This window comes from Homo sapiens, chromosome 7 (assembly GCF_000001405.40).
Source record: "Homo sapiens chromosome 7, GRCh38.p14 Primary Assembly".
Taxonomy (NCBI): Eukaryota; Metazoa; Chordata; class Mammalia; order Primates; family Hominidae; genus Homo; species Homo sapiens.
The window spans coordinates 6,636,431-6,658,516 of NC_000007.14; the positions used below are offsets into that span (position 1 = coordinate 6,636,431).

General features: G+C 60.7%; 1 protein-coding gene across 3 annotated transcripts, besides 4 other annotated features; it reads left to right on the forward strand.

The window, feature by feature from the left end:
* Window positions 568–987: a silencer, noted in NCBI's record as "silent region_17955". NCBI's record gives its function as "represses an Ori minimal core promoter by ATAC-STARR-seq in GM12878 lymphoblastoid cells {active_cell/tissue: GM12878}" and the evidence as "EXISTENCE:reporter gene assay evidence [ECO:0000049][PMID:35858748]".
* ZNF316 (zinc finger protein 316) lies at window positions 888–21,849 on the forward strand. Of its 3 annotated transcripts, NM_001278559.2 has the most exons (9): window positions 888–1,017; window positions 1,416–1,579; window positions 2,612–2,711; window positions 5,395–5,532; window positions 5,952–6,334; window positions 6,534–6,643; window positions 7,392–7,518; window positions 8,050–8,163; window positions 15,873–21,849. In NM_001278559.2, exons 5-9 carry the CDS (start codon window positions 5,980–5,982, stop codon window positions 18,179–18,181), a joined length of 3,015 nt encoding a protein of 1,004 aa, NP_001265488.1. In that variant the 5' UTR covers window positions 888–1,017; window positions 1,416–1,579; window positions 2,612–2,711; window positions 5,395–5,532; window positions 5,952–5,979; the 3' UTR covers window positions 18,182–21,849. The 3 variants fall into 3 exon arrangements, with proteins under 3 accessions (NP_001265488.1, XP_024302386.1, XP_024302387.1); XM_024446618.2 differs by having other exon boundaries at window positions 5,442–6,334; XM_024446619.2 differs by lacking the exons at window positions 888–1,017; window positions 1,416–1,579 and having other exon boundaries at window positions 5,442–5,532.
* Window positions 1,228–1,657: a silencer, noted in NCBI's record as "silent region_17956". NCBI's record gives its function as "represses an Ori minimal core promoter by ATAC-STARR-seq in GM12878 lymphoblastoid cells {active_cell/tissue: GM12878}" and the evidence as "EXISTENCE:reporter gene assay evidence [ECO:0000049][PMID:35858748]".
* Window positions 1,718–1,767: an enhancer, noted in NCBI's record as "active region_25632". NCBI's record gives its function as "activates an Ori minimal core promoter by ATAC-STARR-seq in GM12878 lymphoblastoid cells {active_cell/tissue: GM12878}" and the evidence as "EXISTENCE:reporter gene assay evidence [ECO:0000049][PMID:35858748]".
* Window positions 3,988–4,282: an enhancer, noted in NCBI's record as "tiled region #15225; K562 Activating DNase unmatched - State 5:Enh". NCBI's record gives its function as "activates a minimal TATA promoter and a strong SV40 promoter by Sharpr-MPRA in K562 cells {active_cell/tissue: K562}" and the evidence as "EXISTENCE:reporter gene assay evidence [ECO:0000049][PMID:27701403]".
* Window positions 21,850–22,086: the final 237 nt, after the last annotated feature.

The window sequence follows — 22,086 nt, forward strand, 5'->3', positions numbered from 1 at the left end:
CTATCTCTTGCCCAGTCAGGCCTGGGGTCCCCACAGAAAAGCACCAAGAACAGTGGTGCAGGCGGGCTGGGAGCTGGGGAAGGGGCCCAGGCCACACCATTCCAGGCGGAAGACAGACCCTGGACTCCACCAATGCCAGAGCTCATCCTGACACCCCAGCTGCACCTCTTGGGAGCAGGTGCAGACAGGCTTGTGGGTGGGGGTCTGGGGGTGGCCGCTGAGCTCACCGACCCCTCCCTGGGTTCCTGGGGTCGCCTGTCACTTCTGCCCCCACACTGGCCATGCCCTCTGCCTGGACATCGCTTCCCTGCCCGTGACCCCATGTCCCTCCAAGTGCGGGCTCCACAACCCCAGTCTCCTCCTGCACTCAACCGCCACAGTCCACCCATAAGACGTTCACCCCGCCCGTCCCTCCTCCCTCCCCACCCACAAGACGTTCACCCCGCGCGGGCCCGGGGATCTGGTGGAGGCGTGGACACCTGGCCCCCTCCCCACCACAGGGGTCGCCTCCTCCCTCCACCATCCTGGGGTCCCGGGCAGGCTCCGTGGACTGGCGGAGGGGGCCCAGCGCGGGGCCTGGTCCTCAGCGGGCGCCCCGATGAACGAGGCCGGGCTGGGGTTCGGGGAAGGCGGTGGTCGCAGCGGCGGGACCTCGGGGTCACCTCCGAGACCTGGCCAGGGTGTCCAGGAGCGGGGCGAGGTTGTGGGCGCCCCACGAGTGTCGAGGGCGCTCCCGTCCCCTCCCCGCATGCCCCGTCCTCGCCCCGGCCCGAGGCCCAGCTGGGCAAACCCCCGCAACCCGCGCTTCCCCGCTCCGCGCCGCTGCCCCCGCGTGACCGGAAGTTCCTCCCCCCGCGGGCGCGGGCGGGGCGGGGCCGGCCGGCGGTACTTCCGGTGCCCACGCGCCGCCGTCGCGCAGCTCCCGGGCCGTCACTTTGTGTAGCGCGGGGTCCGCCGCCGGCCCGCAGGCCCCGGCCCCGGTGTCCGGCCCGTGGCTCGGCCAGCCCGGCCCGCGCGGTGAGTGGGTCTCGCGGGGCCGGTGGGCGGCGGCGCGGGCGGCAGGTGCGGGCGGGCCGGGCTTGCGCTCGGGGGCGGCGGCGGCGGCGGGGCCGGGCTGGCCCTCGACGCCCGGCGCGGGGAGGCCGCGGGGAGGCGGCGGGGCCGGGGCCTGCAGAGTCGGAGCGGAACGCGGGTAGGGACTTCCGCGGCAGCGCCCCCGCCTCCCGGACCCCCGTCCGGGCCTGCGCGTTGCCGACCCCCGGGGCCGGTCCGGGCAGGAGGCGGAGGGGGCAGGCCCGGGAGGCCACGCGTGACACCTCGGGGTGCCCGCCCACGCCTTCTCGGCCGCAGCGGCAGGGGCTGGGCCGCGGCCGCCCCCAGGACACACCCATCCAGGAGGGGCTGTCATCGTCTAGGTCTCTGCAGGAGGAGGCGGCTCCGGACGCCCCCTGGGGGGCGGGAGGCGCTCGGCCCGTCGCCCCAGGAGCCCGCTTTGTGACCTTGGGGGCCTTATCCGGGCTTTCCCTCATCTGCAGAAGGAGCCCCGGTGGGCTGCTCGGCTGTCTTCTGCTGCCGGCAGGTAGGTAGGGACACCCATCCCTGGGATTGGATGGGGTCTGGGCTGTCCCGCGTGGCAGCAGAGGTAGGAAAGGGGCTGGGCTTTGGTCGAGGACCCGATGGGCAAGAGGAAGTGCAGGTACCAGGAGGATCAGGCCCCCAGCTCTGCTTGTGTGGGGAGACCTCGGTGCTTGGTTTGGTTCAACAAGTGTGGGCAGGTCTGGGGGCCGGGTGGGGTGGTGAGGGGGCTACCCTGGGGAACCTGAGATGGCCCCCGTGGAAATAACCTGCACCAGGAGCAAACCCAGGAAAGTAGGGGGATCCAGAATCCGAGGACAGACAGTGAGGACTGTGGTGGTCGGGGAAGGAAGTCCTTCAGGAGGGCATGAAGACCCGAAGGGCTCTGAGGGCAGCGGGGGCCACCCAGAGGGAATGAAGGGGGCTAGACACAAGCACACCCCCACATCTCCCGCTCTCTGAGTTGGGTTTCCCTGGCTTTGGAGCTTTTGTGAGGAGTTTCTATCAACTTTCAAGCTTTGCCTCTTCTTCCTGCCCTTGCCTCGCTCCCTTCTCCTCTTGGGAGATACCTTGTCACCTCCCATTCTAAATGTTGGCTGCAGCACCGTATCCTAGAGTGCAGGGCCCTAGTAGAAATGAGGGTTTGGGGCCGGGTGAGGTGGCTCACGCCTGTAATCCCAGCACTTTGTGAGGTCGAGGCGGGTGGATCACCTGAGGTGGGGAGTTTGAGAAATGAGGGTTTGGGATGACGTTGGTGAAGCTCCCTGTGGCCTCTGGTTTGGGATTGATGCTGATGAGACCCCCTGTGGCCTCTGACCCAGAGTTGGATGCCGAGGGAGAAGTGAGCAGTGTTTACAGTGGACTGGCAGGCTGGCAAGAAGAGGGCAAGAGTGCAGGCCTGGGGGAGGCAGAGATAACCCAGGGGGAGTTGCTGGAATCTAAACTCTGCCCGGACTGCTGAGGTCCGTTTTTCAAACCATTATGTTCTGAATCTTGGGTTGGGGACGATGTCTGGCTGTGCTTCTGACCTCTGTAGGAGCTGGTCCTCCACCTTCTCTGGTCATCCGTGGGTGGACTTCTTGGGAGAAAGAACTCAGTGTCGTCTTTGGAGGCAGAGACTCTCCACTGCTTCTGGGGTGAGTTCCAATTCCAAGGGTCCCCCCAACCCCCTACCCCCAGCAGTGGTCAGTCTGTTCTGGAACAGGACAGTAGGGCCAAAATGCTGAGTTTGAAAAATCCTGTGTCCATCACATTGGCTGGCGACTTTAGACATTCTTTTAGTAAGTATTTGAATGCTTCTTAAGTGCTGGTGTGAGGGGTATTCAGACATGAGCAAAGGGAGCTTCTGCCGCCCAGGAGCTGGCTGTACTCAGGGAGAGAGATGATAAGACAGTCTCATAAGTGTATTTTTAAGATGTGGTGAGTGCTGTGAGGGAAGAATTACAGGGAACTGTGTCACCCACTGGGGCCCAGGGGGCTGCCTCAGAAGACCACCCAGGAAAAGGGGAAGAGAGTTCTGGGGATGGGGAATAACACACACACGGCCTGAGATGAGATGAACATGCAGCCACTTTATTCCAAAGCTGTGAAGTGTTCTTCTGTTGTGTCCTCATATATGGCGGCCTGGCTCTGGGAGTTTAAAGTTGCTGCTTCAGGTGGTGGCCAGGCAGGAGACAGCTCTACTGAGCTTGGCATGGCACCTAGGCCCAGCCTGAATCTGCGGCCTGAGGCTTGAAAGAGAAAAGCCCTCCTCTGGGCCTCAAGTGGGTGGCAGTTGGGAAACCGTTGCTGCGTGTACCCAGCGCCCTGAGTGCTGGGCAGGGCCGTGTCCTCCTGGAGGTGGCTAGCATAACACGCAGCACGTGGATTTCGACACTTTGGGCATCTTCACACGCCAAAGAGCTGTGGACACTGAGAAGGTTGGCTTCTGGGAGAGGCTGGAGGTTGGGGTGGCGCTCCCAGGCGTAGTTCTGTGACTTGAGTCTTTGGGGGTTAGTGATTCTGAAACTAGAAAGGGGGCTGGAGCCAGTCAGGGGGCACGTGTGACCTTCGGGACAGAGGTGGCTTCTGGATGCCTGTGTGTCCCAGCCTTTGACTTGGGTGAGCCTGTGTGAATGCTCAGAGCTTCCTGGCTATTAAAGTGTGGATTTTAAAGCAACTGCTCAAAGCAGTTCAGGAAATGAGTACGCGCGGCTGCTATGGTTTGGGTGTTTGTCCAGGTGTCAGGCTGTTCTCGCATTGCTGTAAAGAAATACCTGAGACTGGGTCATTTATAAAGAAGAGGTGAGACTGGCGCATGGTTCTGCAGGCTGTACAGGAAGCATGGTGCTGGCATCTGCCTGGCTTCTAGGGAGCCTCAGGAAGCCTTTAATCATGGTGGACGGTGAGGGGGAGTAGGTATGTCACATGGCGAAAACAGGAACAAGCAAGAGAGAGTGAGTGGGGAGGCGCCACACACTTTTAAAGACGACCAGATGTCCTGTGAACTCATTACTCACTGTCTCCAAGGGGATGGCCCAAGATTCAGGAGGGACCCACCCCCATGATCCAGTCACCTCCCACCAGGCCCCGCCTCCAGCATTGGGGATTACGGTTCAGCGTGAGATCTGGGCGGGGACAAACATCCAGGCTCCATCAGTCCCCTTCCAGTCTCACGCTGAAGCATGATTTCCAGTGCTGGAGGCGGGCCTGCTGGGAGGTGATTTCCAGTGTTGGAGGTGGGCCTGGTGGGAGGGGATTGGCCCATGGAGGCGGATCCCTCATGAATGGTCTAGCACCGTCCCCTTGGTGATAAGGGAGTTCTCAGTTCACAAGAGATCTGGTTGTTTTAAAAGAGTGGGGCTTCCTCCCTCTCTCTTGCTGCCCCTTTGCCTCCCTCCACGAGTGGAAGCTTCCTGAGGCCCTCCCCAGAAACAGATGCCGGCGCCATGTTGGTGCAGCCTGTTGAACTGTGAGTGAATGAAACCTTTTTTCTTTGCCACTTACTCAGCCTCAGGTATTCCTTCACAGAAATGCAGAAATGGCCTAACACAGCTGCGCTAATTGATAGAGAAGTGATGGGTTATGGAGGGAGAGCTAATCACGGAGCAGCTTTCTCCTGTGTCCGTAAGAACACCAGGCGTGGTGGTCTGGACTGTTCTCGTGAAGGCCACTCAGTCTTGTTTTAGGAGTTCTGTGGCAGACACTGTCCACTGCTCGAGCTGGATGAGCTAGGGTGGGCCCAGTGCTCTGTGTGGCCAAGTGGCCTGACATTCCAGGATGCTTCTGGGGCTCATGGCCTCTCCCCCTGGATTCTGGGCTTGGCTTGCTTTGGAAATGGCCCTGTTCAGGCCAGAGACACTGATGGTGTGTGTCCTGGGTAATGGGCCCGGTCTCAGGTTTATACCCAGAAAGGAGCCACAGAAATGGACTCATCAACGCTATGACTCTGCCGTGCCCTTGGGACCCCACAGGGGCTAGTGAAGGACACGCAGTGGGGAGGGGCGAGGGGTCCCAGGGCCAGCAGCTCCCATCCTGCTGTGTCCATGGCCCTGGACCCTGGACCCTGTGTCAGTGTGGCTGCCTCTCCCCTGAGCTTCTGGGCTGAGCTGTTACTGATGTCAGTGAGAGAGTAGGACGCTGTAGCCTCTAGGGCTTTGGTAAGTCAGCCCTCAAGAGTCTCTGATCCCCAAACTTGAAATGTCACAGGCATTTCCTGTCCTCCTGATGGTCTGGCGATGAGCCGTGTGTCCACCATGCACTGCGCTTTTCACAGAGCGAGGGCTGAGGGCACATGAGGGTGATGCTGGCTCACAGCCCCCACTCTCCCATGTCCTGCAGGAAGAAGCCTGACCTGCCGGCTTCCTGGCACCTGTCTCTCCTCCTAGCCCCGTTGTGCCTTGCAAGTGCCTGCATCCTGTCTGTGCTGAGACCTCTTGGCGTTCCCTGCTGGCCTGGTTCATGTGTGTTGAGGACCAGGTAAGCGTCTCTTTGTCCTGTGTATCAGGTGGGCTTTTCCTTCTGGCTAAACATGGGCCACCCTCGGGCTGTGTGATGCTTCCTTGTGGATAAAGACTGGGATAAATGCCTGATTTACTCCAGGAAAGAGCAGCAGTTCACACCAGGCACGTAGTTCTTGGTGAAAAGGAGCTGAGACTGGCATCCCAGGGGTCACGCGGAGGGGCCATTGGGGCAGCCTTTCTGGGTACAGAATGTCTTGATGGTGCAGGGTAAGATCGTGGGAAGGCCCGGTCCTCCCTCATCTCCATTGCCTTCAACTACATAACAGGAGGAGTAAATCCTGCTCCCTGCGCCCCCGCCAGGCTGCGGGAGACCCTGTGAGGGGACCGTGTGGTGTGCTGAGAGCAGCCCGTCACTGGCGTCCATCTGCATTTCAGGCCACGTGGAGGCTCGCTCCCAGGGAGGATGGCGGCGCTCCACACGACTCCCGACTCCCCAGCTGCCCAGCTGGAGCGGGCAGAGGACGGGTCAGAGTGCGACCCTGACCAGGAAGAAGAGGAGGAGGAGGAGGAAAAGGGGGAAGAGGTGCAGGAGGTGGAAGAAGAGGAGGAGGAGATAGTGGTGGAGGAGGAGGAGGAGGGTGTGGCAGAGGTAGTGCAGGATGCGCAGGTGGAGGCGGTGGCCGAGGTGGAGGTGGAGGCGGACGTGGAGGAGGAGGATGTGAAGGAGGTGCTGGCAGAGGAGGAGTGTCCGGCGTTGGGGACCCAGGAGCGACTTAGCCGTGGTGGTGATGCCAAGTCCCCAGTTCTTCAGGAAAAGGGTAAGAAAAGCAGCCAGCCTTGGGGAGGAGATGAAGGGGGCTGAGGTGGGCCAGGCCAGGGACCTGGTCAAGCCAGGAGGGCTCTTGGGCCGACAGGGTGGAGCTGAAACCCAGCTTTGCAATGAGGGTGTTGCCAGGGCTCCTGGCCCTGCAGGCTGGGGGCTCAGGGCAGCTGGCCCTAAGAGATCTCTCCCCACAGGCCTGCAGGCCTCCCGGGCTCCAGCCACTCCTAGGGATGAGGACCTGGAGGAGGAGGAAGAGGAGGAGGAGGATGAGGACGAGGATGATTTGCTGACGGCTGGGTGTCAGGTGAGCCGCCCTCTCCGTTTGGGGCTTGGGTAACCTGGGCAGGGTTTCCCCCGGGGCCTCGGCACCTGCTGTTTGGAGGCGTCTGTTGGCAGCGGCCATGGCACTGGAGTCCCCGGACCAGGCCCAGGCCCTGAGCTGGGAGTGGCCACAGGAAGCGGCTGGGTGTCCAGCCCCAAGCCCGGGGGTGTGGTCCTGCTTTCCTGGGCGTTGGGTTGTCCTGATTGCTTTGGCTGCCACCCACTCAACCGCACTGTGCACAGCGACTTCAGAGGCCTGGCTCTCCCCCAAGGCTGGCCCTCCCCTCACCTGGAGTGCCTGTCACATGTCCAGGGTCTGGGTTCCTGCTGCCCAGTCAGGTCAGGCACCAGTGCCCACGCTCGGTTTAGTTGCTGCTGCTTGTCCACTCGGGTGTGGGCCCTCCATGGCTGACATGGCCATTGCACTGGCTTGAGCCAGACTGCATGAAGAGGGGGACTGGGGGCGGGGCTCCCTGTCTCCTGGCCTCTGCTTGAGCCACAGCTCTGCCCTACGAGCTGGGTCGTTCACCGTCTTTGAGCTTGAGTCCCCATTCTCTGGCTGGGATCTGGTCCTTGCTTTCCAGGGCTGTGGCAAGGCCTGAAAGCCCTCAGTGCCATCTGGGCATCTGTGTCCCCTGACACCCATGCTGGAGAGCCTCAGTGGCCTCAATCTTCCGTGGCTCTTTGTAAAGGGCTCCCTCAGCCTCTCACCTGAGGCTCTGTTTCCCCAGGAGCTGGTGACGTTTGAAGATGTGGCTGTGTACTTCTCCCTGGAGGAGTGGGAAAGGCTGGAAGCAGACCAGCGGGGCCTCTACCAGGAAGTCATGCAGGAGAACTATGGGATTCTCGTGTCCTTGGGTAAGGACGGGACCTTTTGTCCCCAAGAGGCAGCCTGGTGTGATGGCTGCCAGGGTCTTAGCTGTCTGACGGGGCGCTTTTCAAATCCCAGGGTCTTTCCAAAGGTGGATGCTGGGCCCAGCCCACCTCCCAGGGAAGCCCTAGGACCCCATGGCCCCTGGGTGGGGCGGGGGATGTCACTGGCCAGGCAGCACCCTGAGCCAGGTGACACATCTGTGGAGGCTGTCTGTCTCTGGTGTCTGCTGCATGGCCCCTGAAGCCTCCAGGGGTGAGGCGGAAGGCGAGGGAGGAGGAGGGTTGTGGGCATCTTGCAGGTGAAGGTGTTGGGGGGGCTTGGTGGGAGGAGGGCAGGGGAGGACAGGGAAAGGTTCAGAGGGAAGGGACCGCCTGGACCCTCCAGAGCAGGGGTGTGGGAGGGCTGGTGCTGGGAAGATGGAGGTGGAGGGGCACTGAGCGGTGGCACAGCACGGGCTGCAGGGCAGGGGAGGGCCCACGGGAGCCGCCTGCAGCCGCCGTCTGTTCTCCTGGCAGGATACCCAATTCCCAAGCCCGATCTGATCTTCCGGCTGGAACAAGGGGAAGAACCTTGGGTCCCAGATAGTCCCCGACCTGAGGAAGGAGACATCGTCACTGGCGTCTACACAGGTGAGCGTGGATGGAATTTTGCGGTTTGTGCCGATAGCTTCTCAGAGCTGTTGTCAAACTTTGGCCTTCACTGCGCTCTCTGCAGACCTGGTACCTGGTGCCTCTGACTGCGCCTCTGCCTTTGCCGCCTGGCTCCTGGTGGTTCAAGTTCCAGAAAGGTCCGAGGGCTGTAAGGTCCTTAGAGAACCTAGAGGCTCCTCCTAGGAACCTTTAAAAATGATACCCTGCCCTGCGTTGGAGCCTGTGAATTTCTTTGCATGTGAGGGGCCAGCTGTCAGGTGGTCGGCTGAGCCAGGGCAGACCCAGGAGCCCAGCACGCCATCGCGGAGGCCTTTCTGATGGCACAGTGCTAGCCGTTCCTCCTGCTTCTCCGCCCACTTGGCCATGTCTGGGAAAAGGCTCCCCCCAGCTCCCTTGCTCTCCCTGGAGCACCATGGGCAGGACTCTGACCGGGATGGGCAGGTTGGGGCATTCTGGAGAGGAGGTTTTGGAGTGATGGGTGCAGAAGGCGTTCAGGGTGGTGAATTTCCCTGAAAGCCTCAGGCCCAGCTCTGGCTCTGCTCCTTCAACTCTAAGGCCCCCTTTATTCATCTGAAGAAATTGAACTCAACTCAGGTTCCCACTGGGGGACGCCACATTGTCAGTTGCGTGGAGGTCCTTAGTGGTGTCTGAGGGGCTCCTAGCGTCAGAGAGCTCTGCAGAGGCCCCTGCCCCACAGGTGTCTGGTTTGGGGCTAGGTGATGCCGGTTAGGAGGGGCAATGGGTAGATTTGGAGCACCTCATAGATGTGTTTTCAAATGAAAATACAAGCTGGGTGCGGTGGCTCATGCCTATAATCCCAGCACTTTGGGAGGCTGAGGTGGACAGATCACTCGAGGTCAGGAGTTTGAGACCAGCCCGACCAACATGGCAAAACCCCATCACTACTAAAAATACAAAAATTAGCTGGGTGTGGTGGCGTGTGCCTGTAGTCCCAGCTACTCGGGAGGCTGTGGCAGGAGAATGGCTTGAACCCGGGAGGCAGAGGTTGTAGTGAGCCGAGGTTGTACCACTGCACTCCGGCCTGGGTGACAAAGTGGGCCTCTGTCTCAAAAATTAAAAAAGAAATAAAAAAAAAATAGGCTAGGTGCGGTGTCTCATGCCTGTAATCCCAGCACTTTGGGAGGCCAAGGTGGACAGATCACGAGGTCAGGAGTTCAAGACCAGTCTAGGCAATATGGTGAAACCCCATCTCTACTAAAAATACAAAAATTAGCTGGGTGTGGTGGTGCGCGCCTGTAGTCCCAGCTACTTGGGAGGCTGAGGCAGAAGAATCACTTGAACCCGGGAGGTGGAGGTTGCAGTGGGCCAAGACTGCGCCACTGCATTGCAGCCTGGGTGACAGAGTGAGACGCCATCTCAAAAAAAAAAAAAAAAAAAAATCAGATCTCGTGAGAACTCCCTCACTATCATGAGAACAGCATGGGGGGAAACGGCCCCCATGATCTGATCACCTCCCACCAGGTCCCTCCCTTGACACGACACGTGCGGATTACAATTGGAGATAAGGTTTGGGTGGGGACACAGAGCTGAACTATCATTGAGGCCTGCCAGTCCCTCCTCTGTGTCATTGTAGGAGGCCCTTCGTGCCGCCATTCTCCAGATACTTGGGGACCCTCTTGGAATATTCCCCAGGTTTCAGTCAGGAGGGCTCTGGTTGGCAAGAAAGATCACTGCTGCCCCCAGGATGAGTCTGGGATGTGGATGACGCTCTCAGGAAGAGAAGGGGACACAGACCTGCGGGGCCCGTCCCTCAGCGTGTGGTCTACTTGTGCTCCTGTTCTCTGTGCCTCCTGGAGGGTTAGGGGTAGAGCCTTGTGCAGGCTTGAGCCTGAGTGGTTCCCTTTCAGCCCGGGCAACAGTACCCTTGTGGCCTGTGCACCTGGCTGGGGTTTGAGAGCTACCTGAGGGGCTGGCTGGGCCAGTGCCTCCTGCATCCCCTGCGGATGGTCGTCGTGTTGGGGCTGGCAGGCCTGGGATGCCCCCCGGCCCTGAGTGGGTGTGTAAAGTCAGTCTCTGAAATGTGATCCATAGCCTGTGTACTGAGTGGCTACCCTCCCCTGATGCTCCCCGCCTCCCCCAGTGCTCCCTGCCTCCCCTGCATTCATTTCTGGTCGGCTGAGCTGGTTGAGATCGCTGGGGCAGGACAGAGGCTGCCTGTGCCCAGGCTGACAGAGTTTGTTTCTAGACTGGAGTCTTGCAAGAGCCAAGTATGTCCCTCTCTTGGGCTCCTTGATGAGTTGGGCCACACATGACATCTGGGCTCTGGCACTGCCCTGATCAGGACCCACCCCTCCTGAGGGCTGCTGAAGCCCCCACCTGCCCTTCAGCCATGCTTCAGACCCTCCCCTGCCCTGCCTTTCTCCTTACCTGGCTTAGATCCCCGCCCTGGTTGAACCCTGTTTTCTGCCGGCTCTGGTCTGCACTAGAGCAAGAATGTGCCTGGAGAAAATTGTGGCTGTGGGTGCCTGCCAGTGGCATTGGCCTGGCGGGCCAGCCCTGTACTTGTGGGACTGTCTTTCCACCCTCCGAGATGGACCCCCTCAGCCACTGCAGACTGGCCCTTCTGAGGTCACCTGCCCCAGTGAGGGGCAGGCCCAGTGCCTGTCCTCAGAGAGGCCCCTCCTTACAGACCTGGCAGCCTGGCCAAGGCCATGCAGCTGGTTCAGATGCCAGTGCAGAAGCTGCGCCCGAGAGCCCCGCCTCCCCCAAGCACCAATGTGTGGGGCCAGTGCCACCCTCATCCCCCTGACAGTTTGCAGAAGAGAGTGCTGCTAATGCCTATGGACTTGGGCGTGTCACCCTTGTCCTCCACCTCCTTTGCGACTGTCCCCCGTGAGAGAAGATCTCCCTAAGGCCATCTGGAGTTTGTGTCTGAATGGAGAAAGTTGCACTGGCCGGGTGAGGGGAGGGAGCAGGTGTTGGCTTCACTCGGAACTGACTTCCACAGCCTGCGCTCCAGGCCAGGCCCCAGTGGATGGGTTGTCAGAGGGAGAGAAGTGGCGCTGTTCAGTCAGCCAACTCCGTGGACTCGCCGTGGGGCCCAGGTCAGGTTGGGCCTGGAGAGCAGGTTCCAGACTCCGAGATGGGCAGAGGTTGCCCAGGAGTGGGAGTCGTAGATGGTGGCGGCCTGGTGCCATGGGTGGTGTGTGTGGGCTACACCGAGCAGCATCCCTCAGTGATGTGAGATGTGTGTGGGGTCCCGTGGCAGGTTGGGACCGTGTCTTCTGGGTCAGGCATGTGGCTGTGGGGCCACTGTCTTCCCCACAGCCGCTGTGATTAGTGTCCTACATAGGGCCCCCACGCTGTGCCCAGGGCAGGGCACTTACCAGACTGTTCTGGGGGCTGTGCTGCTGGGGACATTGGTTGGCCCCTGGGATCACCACTGCCTCCCACACAGTTAAACCAGGGCCTGGGGACAGAAGCTGGAGAGCCTGCAGTTGTGTTGGTGGGATTCTGGGTAAATGCCCGGCTTTGGTGATGCCGACGAGCACCCTCCCAGGTGTAGGGACCTTTGTGCCTCCAGGGCCTGAGGGCCTTGGCACTGCACCAGCCACTGGTGAGCAGGAGGGCACTAGTGTGGGCTGGAGGGTGCCCCGCCCCTCCTGTCCAGTCCAGGAGGCAGCCTGCCCCCGGGGCACAGGGCTGGCCAGGGGCCTATCTAGGATTAGGGACTGTGGCCCAGCCTCAAGAGGAAAGGCCTTGGTGGGGATCTGTGGCCACCAGGACCTGATGGCAGGAAAGGAGCATCGCCTGACATTTGGGGGACAACTTGAGCGGTGACCAACAGAAAGCATGGGATGGACAGCAGGGGGCCTTGGCATCTGCAGGGAACTGTGGTGGCAGCAGCGCCACCTGACCCGGGGAGCAGTGGAGGTGCTTCTGCAGCCGCATCGCAGGTGTTTACGGATGTGCATTTCATCCTGGCAGCAGTCCCACCAAGTGGATTGCAGGTGCTGTTATCAACCCATTTTACAGATGGGAAAACTCAGATTTAAGGCCTTGCCCAAGGTCCTATGGCCAGTGCGTCATAGGAGTGGAATTCACACCCAGACAGAGCCCGGGCCCCCCAGCTGCCTTTTGAGGTGAAGCCAAGGGAGAGAAGGTGTAGCATCCCGGCCTGGCCCCTGCCGTCCTGGCGGAACTGAGCAGATGTGGGGCTTCAGCCTGCAGGAGGGTTGCTGCGGGCACAGGGGAGTAGTGAGCCTTGAGGGACATCTCAGCATTAAGGTTCAAAGGGGAAGCCTCTAAAGACGCCACTCATGCTAGGGAGCAGCTGTGCCTGGTGCTGATGCCTGTGGAGGGAGGTGGGGGGATCGTTCCTGTGACAGCCCCAGCCCCAGCCCTGAGCCTTTCATTCATTCCCTTGCACCCAGCCTGCTGGGGTGGTCTCCCTCTCCATCAGCTCCTGTCACCTGCCGCTGGATGGGGGGGGTCTTAGTGTTCCCAGTTCAGGACATGGGCCGTGAAGGTTCTTGTGGCCATACTCTGGAAGCTTCTCCCTCCCTAGACAGAGCTGACTTTGAGCCTCTGATCGGCCTCTCCTTTTTATCACTGAGCCCTTGTGGTCCCTCTTCCGGAAGCCTAGCTGCATGTTGCTAGGTCAGAGTCCTTAGGCCTAAACGTGAGGTGCAGGGGAGAGGGACCGTCAGTCCCAGGGTCTCCTCTCCTCTGCTGTCCCCTGGGTTCTGGAGGAAGCAGGTGTGTTGGGTACCCTGGGCTGCTGTCGCATGGTTCCTGCCCCAGTGCCCTCCAGCTGTTGAGAAACATGCACCAGCCCCTCCTAGTCAGCCTCCTGTTGCCCCGGCTTGGGTCTGATGAGTTGAGCTGTGATGAGGCCTGACTTAGATCTGGAAAACGGCTTTGGATCTGAGAGCCAGCAAACGCCCTCGGGGCCTTGTCCCTGGAGCCCTGTTGGCTGAACACCCTCACTCAAGGATGTTCCCGTGGACTTCGACAGAGCCTGGCCTGGGGCAGGCTGGTCTCCCTCTGGGACCCTTCCCAGGGGCCCTGCTACTTCCTGGGAGCTCCCCTTAGAGTGCAGCCCGCTCAGACTCCCCAGGGACTTGGATGTCCTTCCCCTCCTGCACTCGGTGTCAATGGTGGCCTGTCACCATGCCATATGCTGGAGTGTGGCCCACCCTTGTCCCAGTTGTTGGACAAGTGGCCATGCCAGCTCCAGAGCTGGCGGGGGGTGCCCTCTCTACAGATCCCACTGGGATGGGGGCTCCCTGCCTACCTCCCCAAGTGAGAGGATTCCCTGCTGCGATCAGGATCAAGGGAGAGGTGATGGGAGGAGCCTCCCAGCTCTGGGCAGCTGAGACTTCTGTGGGCAAGGCCGCCCTTGGCCTGGGAGTCCAGTTCTTTGAGGCTTATTATCCAGTAAATGCTCGCTGAGTCTTGGCTGTTTCCTGAGGTACCGATGCACCCCGCTACAAAATCATAGTTGTTCCTAGGCTTGAACCTTCCCCGTTTGGAGGGGTCTCTAAACCCAAGACCTGCATCAGAGCCTCAGGGTGAGATCCTTTCGAGCTCTCTGCCAGCCTCCCTATCCTGTAGGGTTGGGGTATAGGGCTGGGGTGCAGCAGCCTTCCCAGACCTGGGGAGTGTGGCTGCCAGTCGGGGAAGGGTGGCCACTGATGGGGACGGGGCTTTTCTTTGCTGCTCTGTGCACGGAGTGGCTGTGGGTGGCAGTTCGAGGTAGACTCAACTTAGTGACAAGAAACCTTTTTATTTCAAGCTTACGTTTACTATGATAGTAAACCGATAAAGTATCATGAAATGTGAAAGATGCAGTAACCCGTTTTCTGACCCTTTTCTATGATGCCTGTTTTTTCACAGTGAAGCCGGGCCTGTGTGGGTCTGTGTTTTCCTGCGGCTCTAGGTCCCCATATGGAATGTATGTGGGACGAGGCAGTGCCAAGGGCATGCAGCCTGGCAGGGGCCAGCGTGCGACATGAGGGGCTACCCGAGGCCTACTGGGACCTCCTGGGCTCCGACTTTCCCTCTAGGGCAGCACTCAGTGGTCCAGGCTTATCCAGCTAGGTGACGGCTGAAATGGGCAGGGGACCCAGGTGGGGTGAGGAGGAGATTTCCACACCAGCTGTGGGAGCTGGAACCTTCCAGATGCTGAGACTGTCGGGCAGACACCAGGAGGGTCCATGAAGGTGCCTTAGAGCATCTGGGGCTGCAGGCCAGGTGTCATCCCTGTGTCCCGTGACTTAGTGCCTGCTCCATAGACACCAGTTCCCTCCTGGGTGCGTCACGATGTCTTAGGTGTTTGAGCCATCAACAGGAGCCCCACCGAGCCAGCTCCATCTACATGTTGTTCATTGCCTGCACAGGTGCCTCGCAAGGCTGAAGGGAGAGGGCAGGGGTGCAGCTTGGTGTGAGAGGGGCAGAATGGGGGAAGCTGAGCAAAGCTTAGAGCTGACAGGCCGGGCACGGTGGCTCACCCCTGTAATCCCAGCACTTTGGGAGGCCAAGGTGGGTAGACCACCTGAGGTCAGGAGTTTGAGACTAGCCTGACCAACACTGAGAAACCCCATCTCTACTAAAATCATCATCATCATCATCATCATCTGGGCGCACGCCTGTAACTCCAGTTACTCGGGAGACTGAGGCAGGAGAATTGCTCAACCCGGGAGGTGGAGGTTGCGGTGGGCCGAGATTCGGCCATTGCACTCCAGCCTGGGCAACGAGCTCAATTCCGTCTCAAAAAACAAAACAAAATAAAAAAAGGCTGGGCGCGGTGGGTCACGCCTGTAATCCCAGCACTTTGGGAGGCCGAGGTGGGCAGATCACCTGAGGTCAGGAGTTCGAGACCAGCCTGGCCAACATGGCGAAACTCCATCTCTACTAAAAATACAAAAATTAGCCAGCTGCGGTGCTGTGCGCCTGTAATCCCAGCTACTAGGGAGTCTGAGGCAGAAGAATTGCTTGAACCTGGGAGGTGGAGGTTGCAGTGAGCTTTTAAAAAAAAAAGCCGGGCGTGGTGGCCTGAGCCCATAATCGCAGCTACTTGGGAGGCTGAGGTGGGAGAATTGCTTGAACCCACGAGGTGGAGGTTGCAGTGAGCCAAGATCGAGCCACTGCACTCCAGCCTGGGTGACAGAGTGAGACTCTTGTCTCAAAACAAAAACAAAAAGCTTAGAGCTGACAAAGGCAGGTCTTCTGTGGACAGGGCCGCCGGCTGCGCTGTCTTCCAGGAAGGCCAGGGAGGCGGAGTTCTCCAGGAGCTTTGGGGAAAACTGCCCCAGCGTCTCCACCTGGTTTTCTCAGCACAGGATCCCTGCTTGGGTTTAACCTTCGGTCGCACCCCTTCCTAGAGTTTGCCCCGTTCCTCAGCAGGTGGCAAGCCCTGGAGGGAGCCGGCGGTCTGGAAGAGATGTTGGACGGGAGCCCTGGCTTTCCTGGGAGGGACAGTTTCAGGTGCTGCGTGTCCCCAGGTTCCTAGCTGGGGGCGGCGGCTTTCCTGCCTTGCGGCTGTTCAGGACTGGCAGTGGGACATGGGCAACCGCTCACTTGGTGAAAGGAGGTGCCCCGTCCGACTGAAGGAAGGTCCTGCTGGTGGCGTCTCGGAAGCCCTGATTTCTCGGGACAGGAACCTGCCAGAGGCTCCTGTCAAGTTCACTTACCTCTCTCTTCTGGCCTGCCTTTGTCACCTTCAGGAGCCTGGTTCTGGACGGACGACATAGAGGACCACGAGGAGGAAGACGACGAGGACTTCCTGGCGGAGGTGGCCGAGGAGGAGAACGAGCCCCCAGGGCTCTGGTCGGCGGCCTACGGCGTGGGGGACGTGCCTGGGACGTGGGGGCCCGACGACTCGGATTCGGCGCAGACTCCAGAGGGGTGGGGACCCGACCCAGGCGGCCTGGGGGTCCTGGCCGACGGCTCTGAAGCGAAGCCTTTCCTGCCCGGCCGGGAGCCGGGTGCGAACCTGCTGTCGCCCTGGGCGTTCCCCGCCGCAGTGGCCCCGCCGGCCGGGAGGCCGGAGACCACGTGCGACGTGTGCGGCAAGGTCTTCCCGCACCGCTCGCGGCTGGCCAAGCACCAGCGCTACCACGCGGCCGTCAAGCCCTTCGGCTGCGAGGAGTGCGGCAAGGGCTTCGTGTACCGCTCGCACTTGGCCATCCACCAGCGCACGCACACCGGCGAGAAGCCCTTCCCGTGCCCGGACTGCGGCAAGCGCTTCGTCTACAAGTCGCACCTGGTTACGCACCGACGCATCCATACTGGCGAGCGGCCCTACCGCTGCGCCTTCTGCGGCGCGGGCTTCGGGCGCCGCTCCTACCTGGTCACGCACCAGCGCACGCACACCGGCGAGCGACCCTACCCGTGTTCGCACTGCGGCCGCAGCTTCAGCCAGAGCTCGGCGCTGGCACGGCACCAGGCGGTGCACACGGCCGACCGCCCGCACTGCTGTCCCGACTGCGGCCAGGCCTTCCGCCTGCGCGCCGACTTCCAGCGCCACCGACGCGGCGGGGGCTGCGCGGAGGCGGGTGGTGACGGCCCCCGGCGGGAGCCCGGCGAGACGGCGGCCGCCGCGGGGCCCGAGGACACGGACCCTGGGCCAGAGGGATCTGAAGTTGGCGAGGCGGACGGAGAGGCGGAGGCCGCGGCCGAGGAGAGAGAGGAGGCGGCGGTGGCGGCGCCCACCCCCAGCGGCAAGGTGGACCCCGCGCCGGAACGGCGCTTCCTGGAGCTGGGCAACGGCCTGGGGGAGGGCGAAGGCCCCTCCTCCCACCCGCTGGGCTTCCACTTCCCCGTGCACCCCAAGTCCTGGCTGCACCCGGACAGCTTCCCGATCCTGGGCCTACCCGACTTCCGAGAGCGGCTGCCGGTCGACGGGCGCCCGCTCCCGGCGCCCCTGGGGGGCCCGCTCTCCCTGGTGGAGGGTACCGGGCTGGCGTGCGACCCTTTCGGCGGCGGCGGGGCCGCGGGCGGCGGAGGCGGCCTGCGCGCGTTCGGGCCCGCCATCGGGGGTCTGCTGGCGGAGCCCGCGCCGGCCGCGCTGGCGGAGGAGGAGAGCCCGTGGATCTGCTCGGACTGCGGCAAGACGTTTGGGCGCCGGGCCGCGCTGGCCAAGCACCAGCGCTACCACGCGGGCGAGCGGCCGCATCGCTGCGCCGACTGCGGCAAGAGCTTCGTGTACGGCTCGCACCTGGCGCGCCACCGGCGCACACACACCGGCGAGCGGCCCTTCCCGTGCCCCGAGTGCGGCGCGCGGTTCGCCCGCGGCTCGCACTTGGCGGCGCACGTGCGCGGCCACACGGGCGAGAAGCCGTTCGTGTGCGGCGTGTGCGGTGCGGGGTTCAGCCGTCGCGCGCACTTGACGGCGCACGGGCGCGCGCACACCGGGGAGCGGCCTTACGCGTGTGGAGAGTGCGGCCGGCGCTTCGGGCAGAGCGCGGCGCTGACGCGGCATCAGTGGGCGCACGCCGAGGAGAAGCCGCACCGCTGCCCCGACTGCGGCAAGGGCTTCGGCCACAGCTCGGACTTCAAGCGGCATCGGCGCACGCACACGGGCGAGAAGCCCTTCCGCTGCGCCGACTGCGGCCGCGGCTTCGCGCAGCGCTCCAACCTGGCCAAGCACCGGCGCGGCCACACGGGCGAACGCCCCTTCCCGTGCCCTGAGTGCGGCAAGCGCTTTTCGCAGCGCTCGGTGCTGGTCACGCACCAGCGCACACATACGGGCGAGCGGCCCTACGCCTGCGCCAACTGCGGCCGCCGCTTCTCGCAGAGCTCGCACTTGCTCACCCACATGAAGACGCACCGCGGAGCCACCGCAGCGCCGGGCTCGGGTTCGGCCCCAGCCCCCGCGCCCAAGCCCGAGGCGGCCGCCAAGGGGCCGTCCAGTGCCGGCCCCGGTGAGCGCGGCAGCGCCCTGCTGGAGTTCGCGGGCGGCACAAGCTTCGGCTCCGAGCACCAGGCCGCGTTCGCCGGGCCCTCGGGCGCCTACCGGGAGGGCGTCCTGTGAGGGGCCCGGGGCCGACAGCAGCGCAGCCTGCAGGGCCACCGGCCCCTCCCTTGGACGGCCGGCCCCCCGCTCCTCGGGCCCCGGGAGGCTGAGGGTCCCAGTCCTGGGTGCGGTGCCTTCCCTCAGCCCTCGCCCTGCGGCCCCGGGTCTCATGCCCGCCGGGTCCGTGTGCTCAGCCGGAGACGTGGGGGAGCTCTGGGGAGAAGAGCAGCGCGGAGGCAGCGAGGCCAGGACGTCACCCCCACGGAGACTGCGATATCCCCTGGGTGGGCCCGGGCTGTGAAGCAGGGCGGTAGTTGGCGGGCGATGCTATTTATTTCACTCGGATTCCGACTTGGGTGGTCTGGGGAGCAAGGGATTTGTGTGTTTGCAACCGGGTGTGGCGGCGAGGGAGGGGCCCGGCCACCCAGGTGGGCCAGCGGGATGCCTGGGAGGCCGGTGGGTTTGGCTGACCACTTCTTCCCATTCCTCAGTGAGAGACTTGGGCCCTCCCGGTCATCCGAGTCTGTCCCGAAGGTTTAACTGCGCGCGGCGAGGGGAGGCCTTGTAGGTTTCCAAAGGGCGGAGCTCCAGTGGGAAAACTTGAAACTTGTCGTCTGCGGATATTTATTTCCACTTCTTGTATGGCCTGAAGAATCTAGGAGGAGAAAAAGCCAGATACCAAACTTACGGCCAGGCAGACGGGTCGCGGGTGTTGACAGGGTCCTGAGGGAGTTTGAAGCCTTATTCTCGAGCCGCCTCCTCTTCTCTACCCACACTTGCACCGAGGTCACCCCGGCACCCTCCGCACCGGTTCGGTTTTGGTCTCTGCTTGTCCTCTCAGTCCTTGGTACTTTCGTCTCCCTCAGCCGGAGGTGGCAAACTCAGACATCTACGGGCGCCCGAGGCCCTCGCAGCCCTGAGCCCCAGCTTTCACTTCCCTGGGCTGCCCCTCTCCGGGAGCAGGCAGACGCCCCGTTCTCGGAGCCCAGCGCTCACTTAGAGCGACTGAGGTTGGTCGAAGGATCTTTCCCCACATCCCATAATCAGGGCCCTAGGACACTCGCAGGTCCCTTTAACTCTGCTTCTGTCATTACACTAGAACAAGTAGTGTTTCTGTTTAGAGTCCCATTTCACAAATTGGTTAGTGGAGGCACCCGTGGCCTGGCAGCTTGCACAGTGGCTGTCCACCTCGGGGGGGTGTGGACCTGAGCCGTGGCTCAGTGACAAACCAGGCACCCAACTATGCAAGGCCCCTGCCTGGTGGGCATCCTACCCTCTGGACTGGGCCCATGGAAGCCACTGGGCGGGCAGCTGGGGTGTAGTTCATGTGAAGCCCCATTCCCCTCACGCTTTTGGGGCCACTGTGAATGGGGCCAGGAAACGGATTTTTGGTGCAGCTGCATTCCCTAATAGACCTAGTTCCCTCCACGTTAGTGTAGACATGGCCTTGGGGGCTGAGCGCAGCAGCCAGGCTGCCAGGGCTGGGGGCGGGTAGGAGGCACGGTAGTTGGTGGGTGGGAAGAGGGCCTGGGTGGTGGCGGTCAGTTAGCCTGGCTGGGTGAGGTTGGTGAGGTTGCGGGGCGGGGTGGTGAGGAGAGCAGGGGTCCCAGGGAGGCATTGGGGTGCTGGGTAATGACCTCGGCCCTGGGTTTCTCCTCTCCCTGCGGGACAGGAGCCTCAGAAAGGGCCAAGGGCAAGGTGGGCTTGGGGGGCTCTGGGAATCTCAGCTCTAGCCCTGTATGGCCAGGATCTGCTGTCTCCGTCCCTCCTGGGCCCCAGCAGCTGTCCTGCAGCTGTCAGCAGGAGGGCCTGGCTTTAATAAAGAGTGGACAAACTGAACTTCTGACTGGACTCCATGCTGTCGCCACTCCTGGGAACCCGTCGGGGAGGCTCTGCGCGGCCTCAGGTCCAACTTGTTTCTGCAAACATTTTTTAAAAGATTTTCTCTTTTAAGAAATTAGAATGGGTCCTAGGATGGCCCATGAGGAGTTGGCCCCAGGCCAGTGTGGCCCCGTGCTGCCCATGCCCACCGTATTCCTTGGTGGCCCCCACGCTGCCCCACACTTGATGTAGTGTAAACACCTGACTTGGGGCATTACTTTTTGTGAATATGTTGGCCAGGCTTCCAGAGGCCAGAGTGAGGGGCCAGGTACCCTTCGTGGTGGTCCAAACACATCCCCAGCCCTTTCTTCAGAGGCCCCAGCACCATGTGGCTCATCCAGGGCTCACCTACTCCAGTACCAGGGCAAGGTGTACAGCCCCAGGACCCAAAATGCCTCCCTTAAAGCTGATTGGTTGATTTCTTTATTCTTATCACATGGTAGCCCACGATCAGATCTGACTCTCCTGTCCTTTCTTTGTGGGTCTGAAAAATAAGAACTGCTGTAATCAAATGTGATCTGGAGGCATCAGAACAGAGCAATCTAATGCTTCTTTTCTTGCCCAGGCTGGAGTGCAGGGCGTGATCTCGGCTCACTGCAACCTCTGCCTCCCAGGTTCAAGCGATTCTCCTGCCTCAGACTGCCGAGTAGCTGGGATTACAGGCATGTGCCACCATGCCCAGCGAGTTTTTTTGTATTTTTAGTAGAGATGGGATTTCAGCATATTGGCCAGGCTGGTCTTGAGCTCCTGATCTTGTGATCTGCCTGTCTTGGCCTTCCAAAGTGCTGGGATTGCAGGTGTGAGTCACCGCGCCCGGCCAGAGCAACCTAATATTTCAAAAAAAAAAAAAAAAAAAAAAAAAAAGCCGGGCATAGTGGTATGCATCTGTAGTCCCATCTACTTGGGAGGCTGAGGTGGGAGGATCGCCTGAGACCAGAAATTCAAGGCCAACCTGGGCAACGTATCAAGACTCCATGTCTGAAACAGACGTTTGAGTGGCAGACAAATACAAAGACCTAGTTAAAAAATGGAGCCCCTTGAGGATCTTACAGTCTATTCAGAAAAGTTAAATGAGGCTGGGTGCGATGGCTCATGCCTGTAATCCCAGCACTATGGGAGGCCAAGGCGGATCCCTTGAGCTCAGATGGATTCCTTGAGCTCAGGAGTTCGAGGCCAGCTGGGACAACACGGCAAAACTCTTGTCTCTATAAAAAATACAAAAATTAGCTGGGTGTGGTGGCGCACGTCTATAGTCCCAGCTACTCTGGAGGCTGAGCCTGGGAGGCAGAGGCTGCAGTGAACTATGATTTTTCCATTGCACTCCAGCCTGGGTGACAGAACAAGACCCTATCTCACCAAAAAAAAAAAAAAAAAAAAAAAAAAGGTTCCCCGATAGAACTTATAGTTGACTGTCCAGCCAAATACTTAAAAAAAAAGTTTATAGGGAGAAAAATACCCTCCCCCATCCAATGGTCATAGGAAAAAAAGTAGACACCCTTTATTGCCAAGGAGGAATTAAACCCTAGTGACTTGTGAAATGTGAGTCACGAAAGGTGGCACTTAGAGGGTCCCTCAGCCCTGAGCGTCACTTTCCCCTCCATCTACCTTTGTTATTTCCTTTCTCTTTTGCCGGTTTCCCCAACCTCCTTCCTTTTCTGATTCATTCCTTTTATCCTGATCTTTTCACTTAATCTCGTCCAACATTTCCTTCTATCTCCCTTTTTTCTTTCTCTAATTGGCTACATATGGAATAAAGTATTTTGAATTACTGGGTTATATCTATTAAATAAAGCTTTATGATCTTTGCTCTTTTTTTTTTCCTGATTATAAAAATACATGCTAGGACCAGGCACGGTAGTTCACGCCTGTAATCCCGGCACTATGGGAGGCTGAGGCGGGTGGATCCCTTGAGCCCTGGAGTTCGAGACCAGCCTGGGCAACATGGTGAAATCGCTACAAAAAAATTTTAAAAATTAGCTGAGTGTGGTGGCATGCACCTGTGGTCCCAGCTGCTTGGAAGGCTGAGGCTGCAGCGAGCCAAG

Bases quoted from the DNA above. Each gene is read 5' to 3' on its own strand.
- ZNF316 (NM_001278559.2), top strand. From the start codon at position 5,980: ATGGCGGCGCTCCACACGACTCCCGACTCCCCAGCTGCCCAGCTGGAG. The intron at 6,644-7,391 runs GTGAGCCGCCCT...CTGTTTCCCCAG, and splicing joins TGCTGACGGCTGGGTGTCAG to GAGCTGGTGACGTTTGAAGA. The intron at 8,164-15,872 runs GTGAGCGTGGAT...TGTCACCTTCAG, and splicing joins CGTCACTGGCGTCTACACAG to GAGCCTGGTTCTGGACGGAC.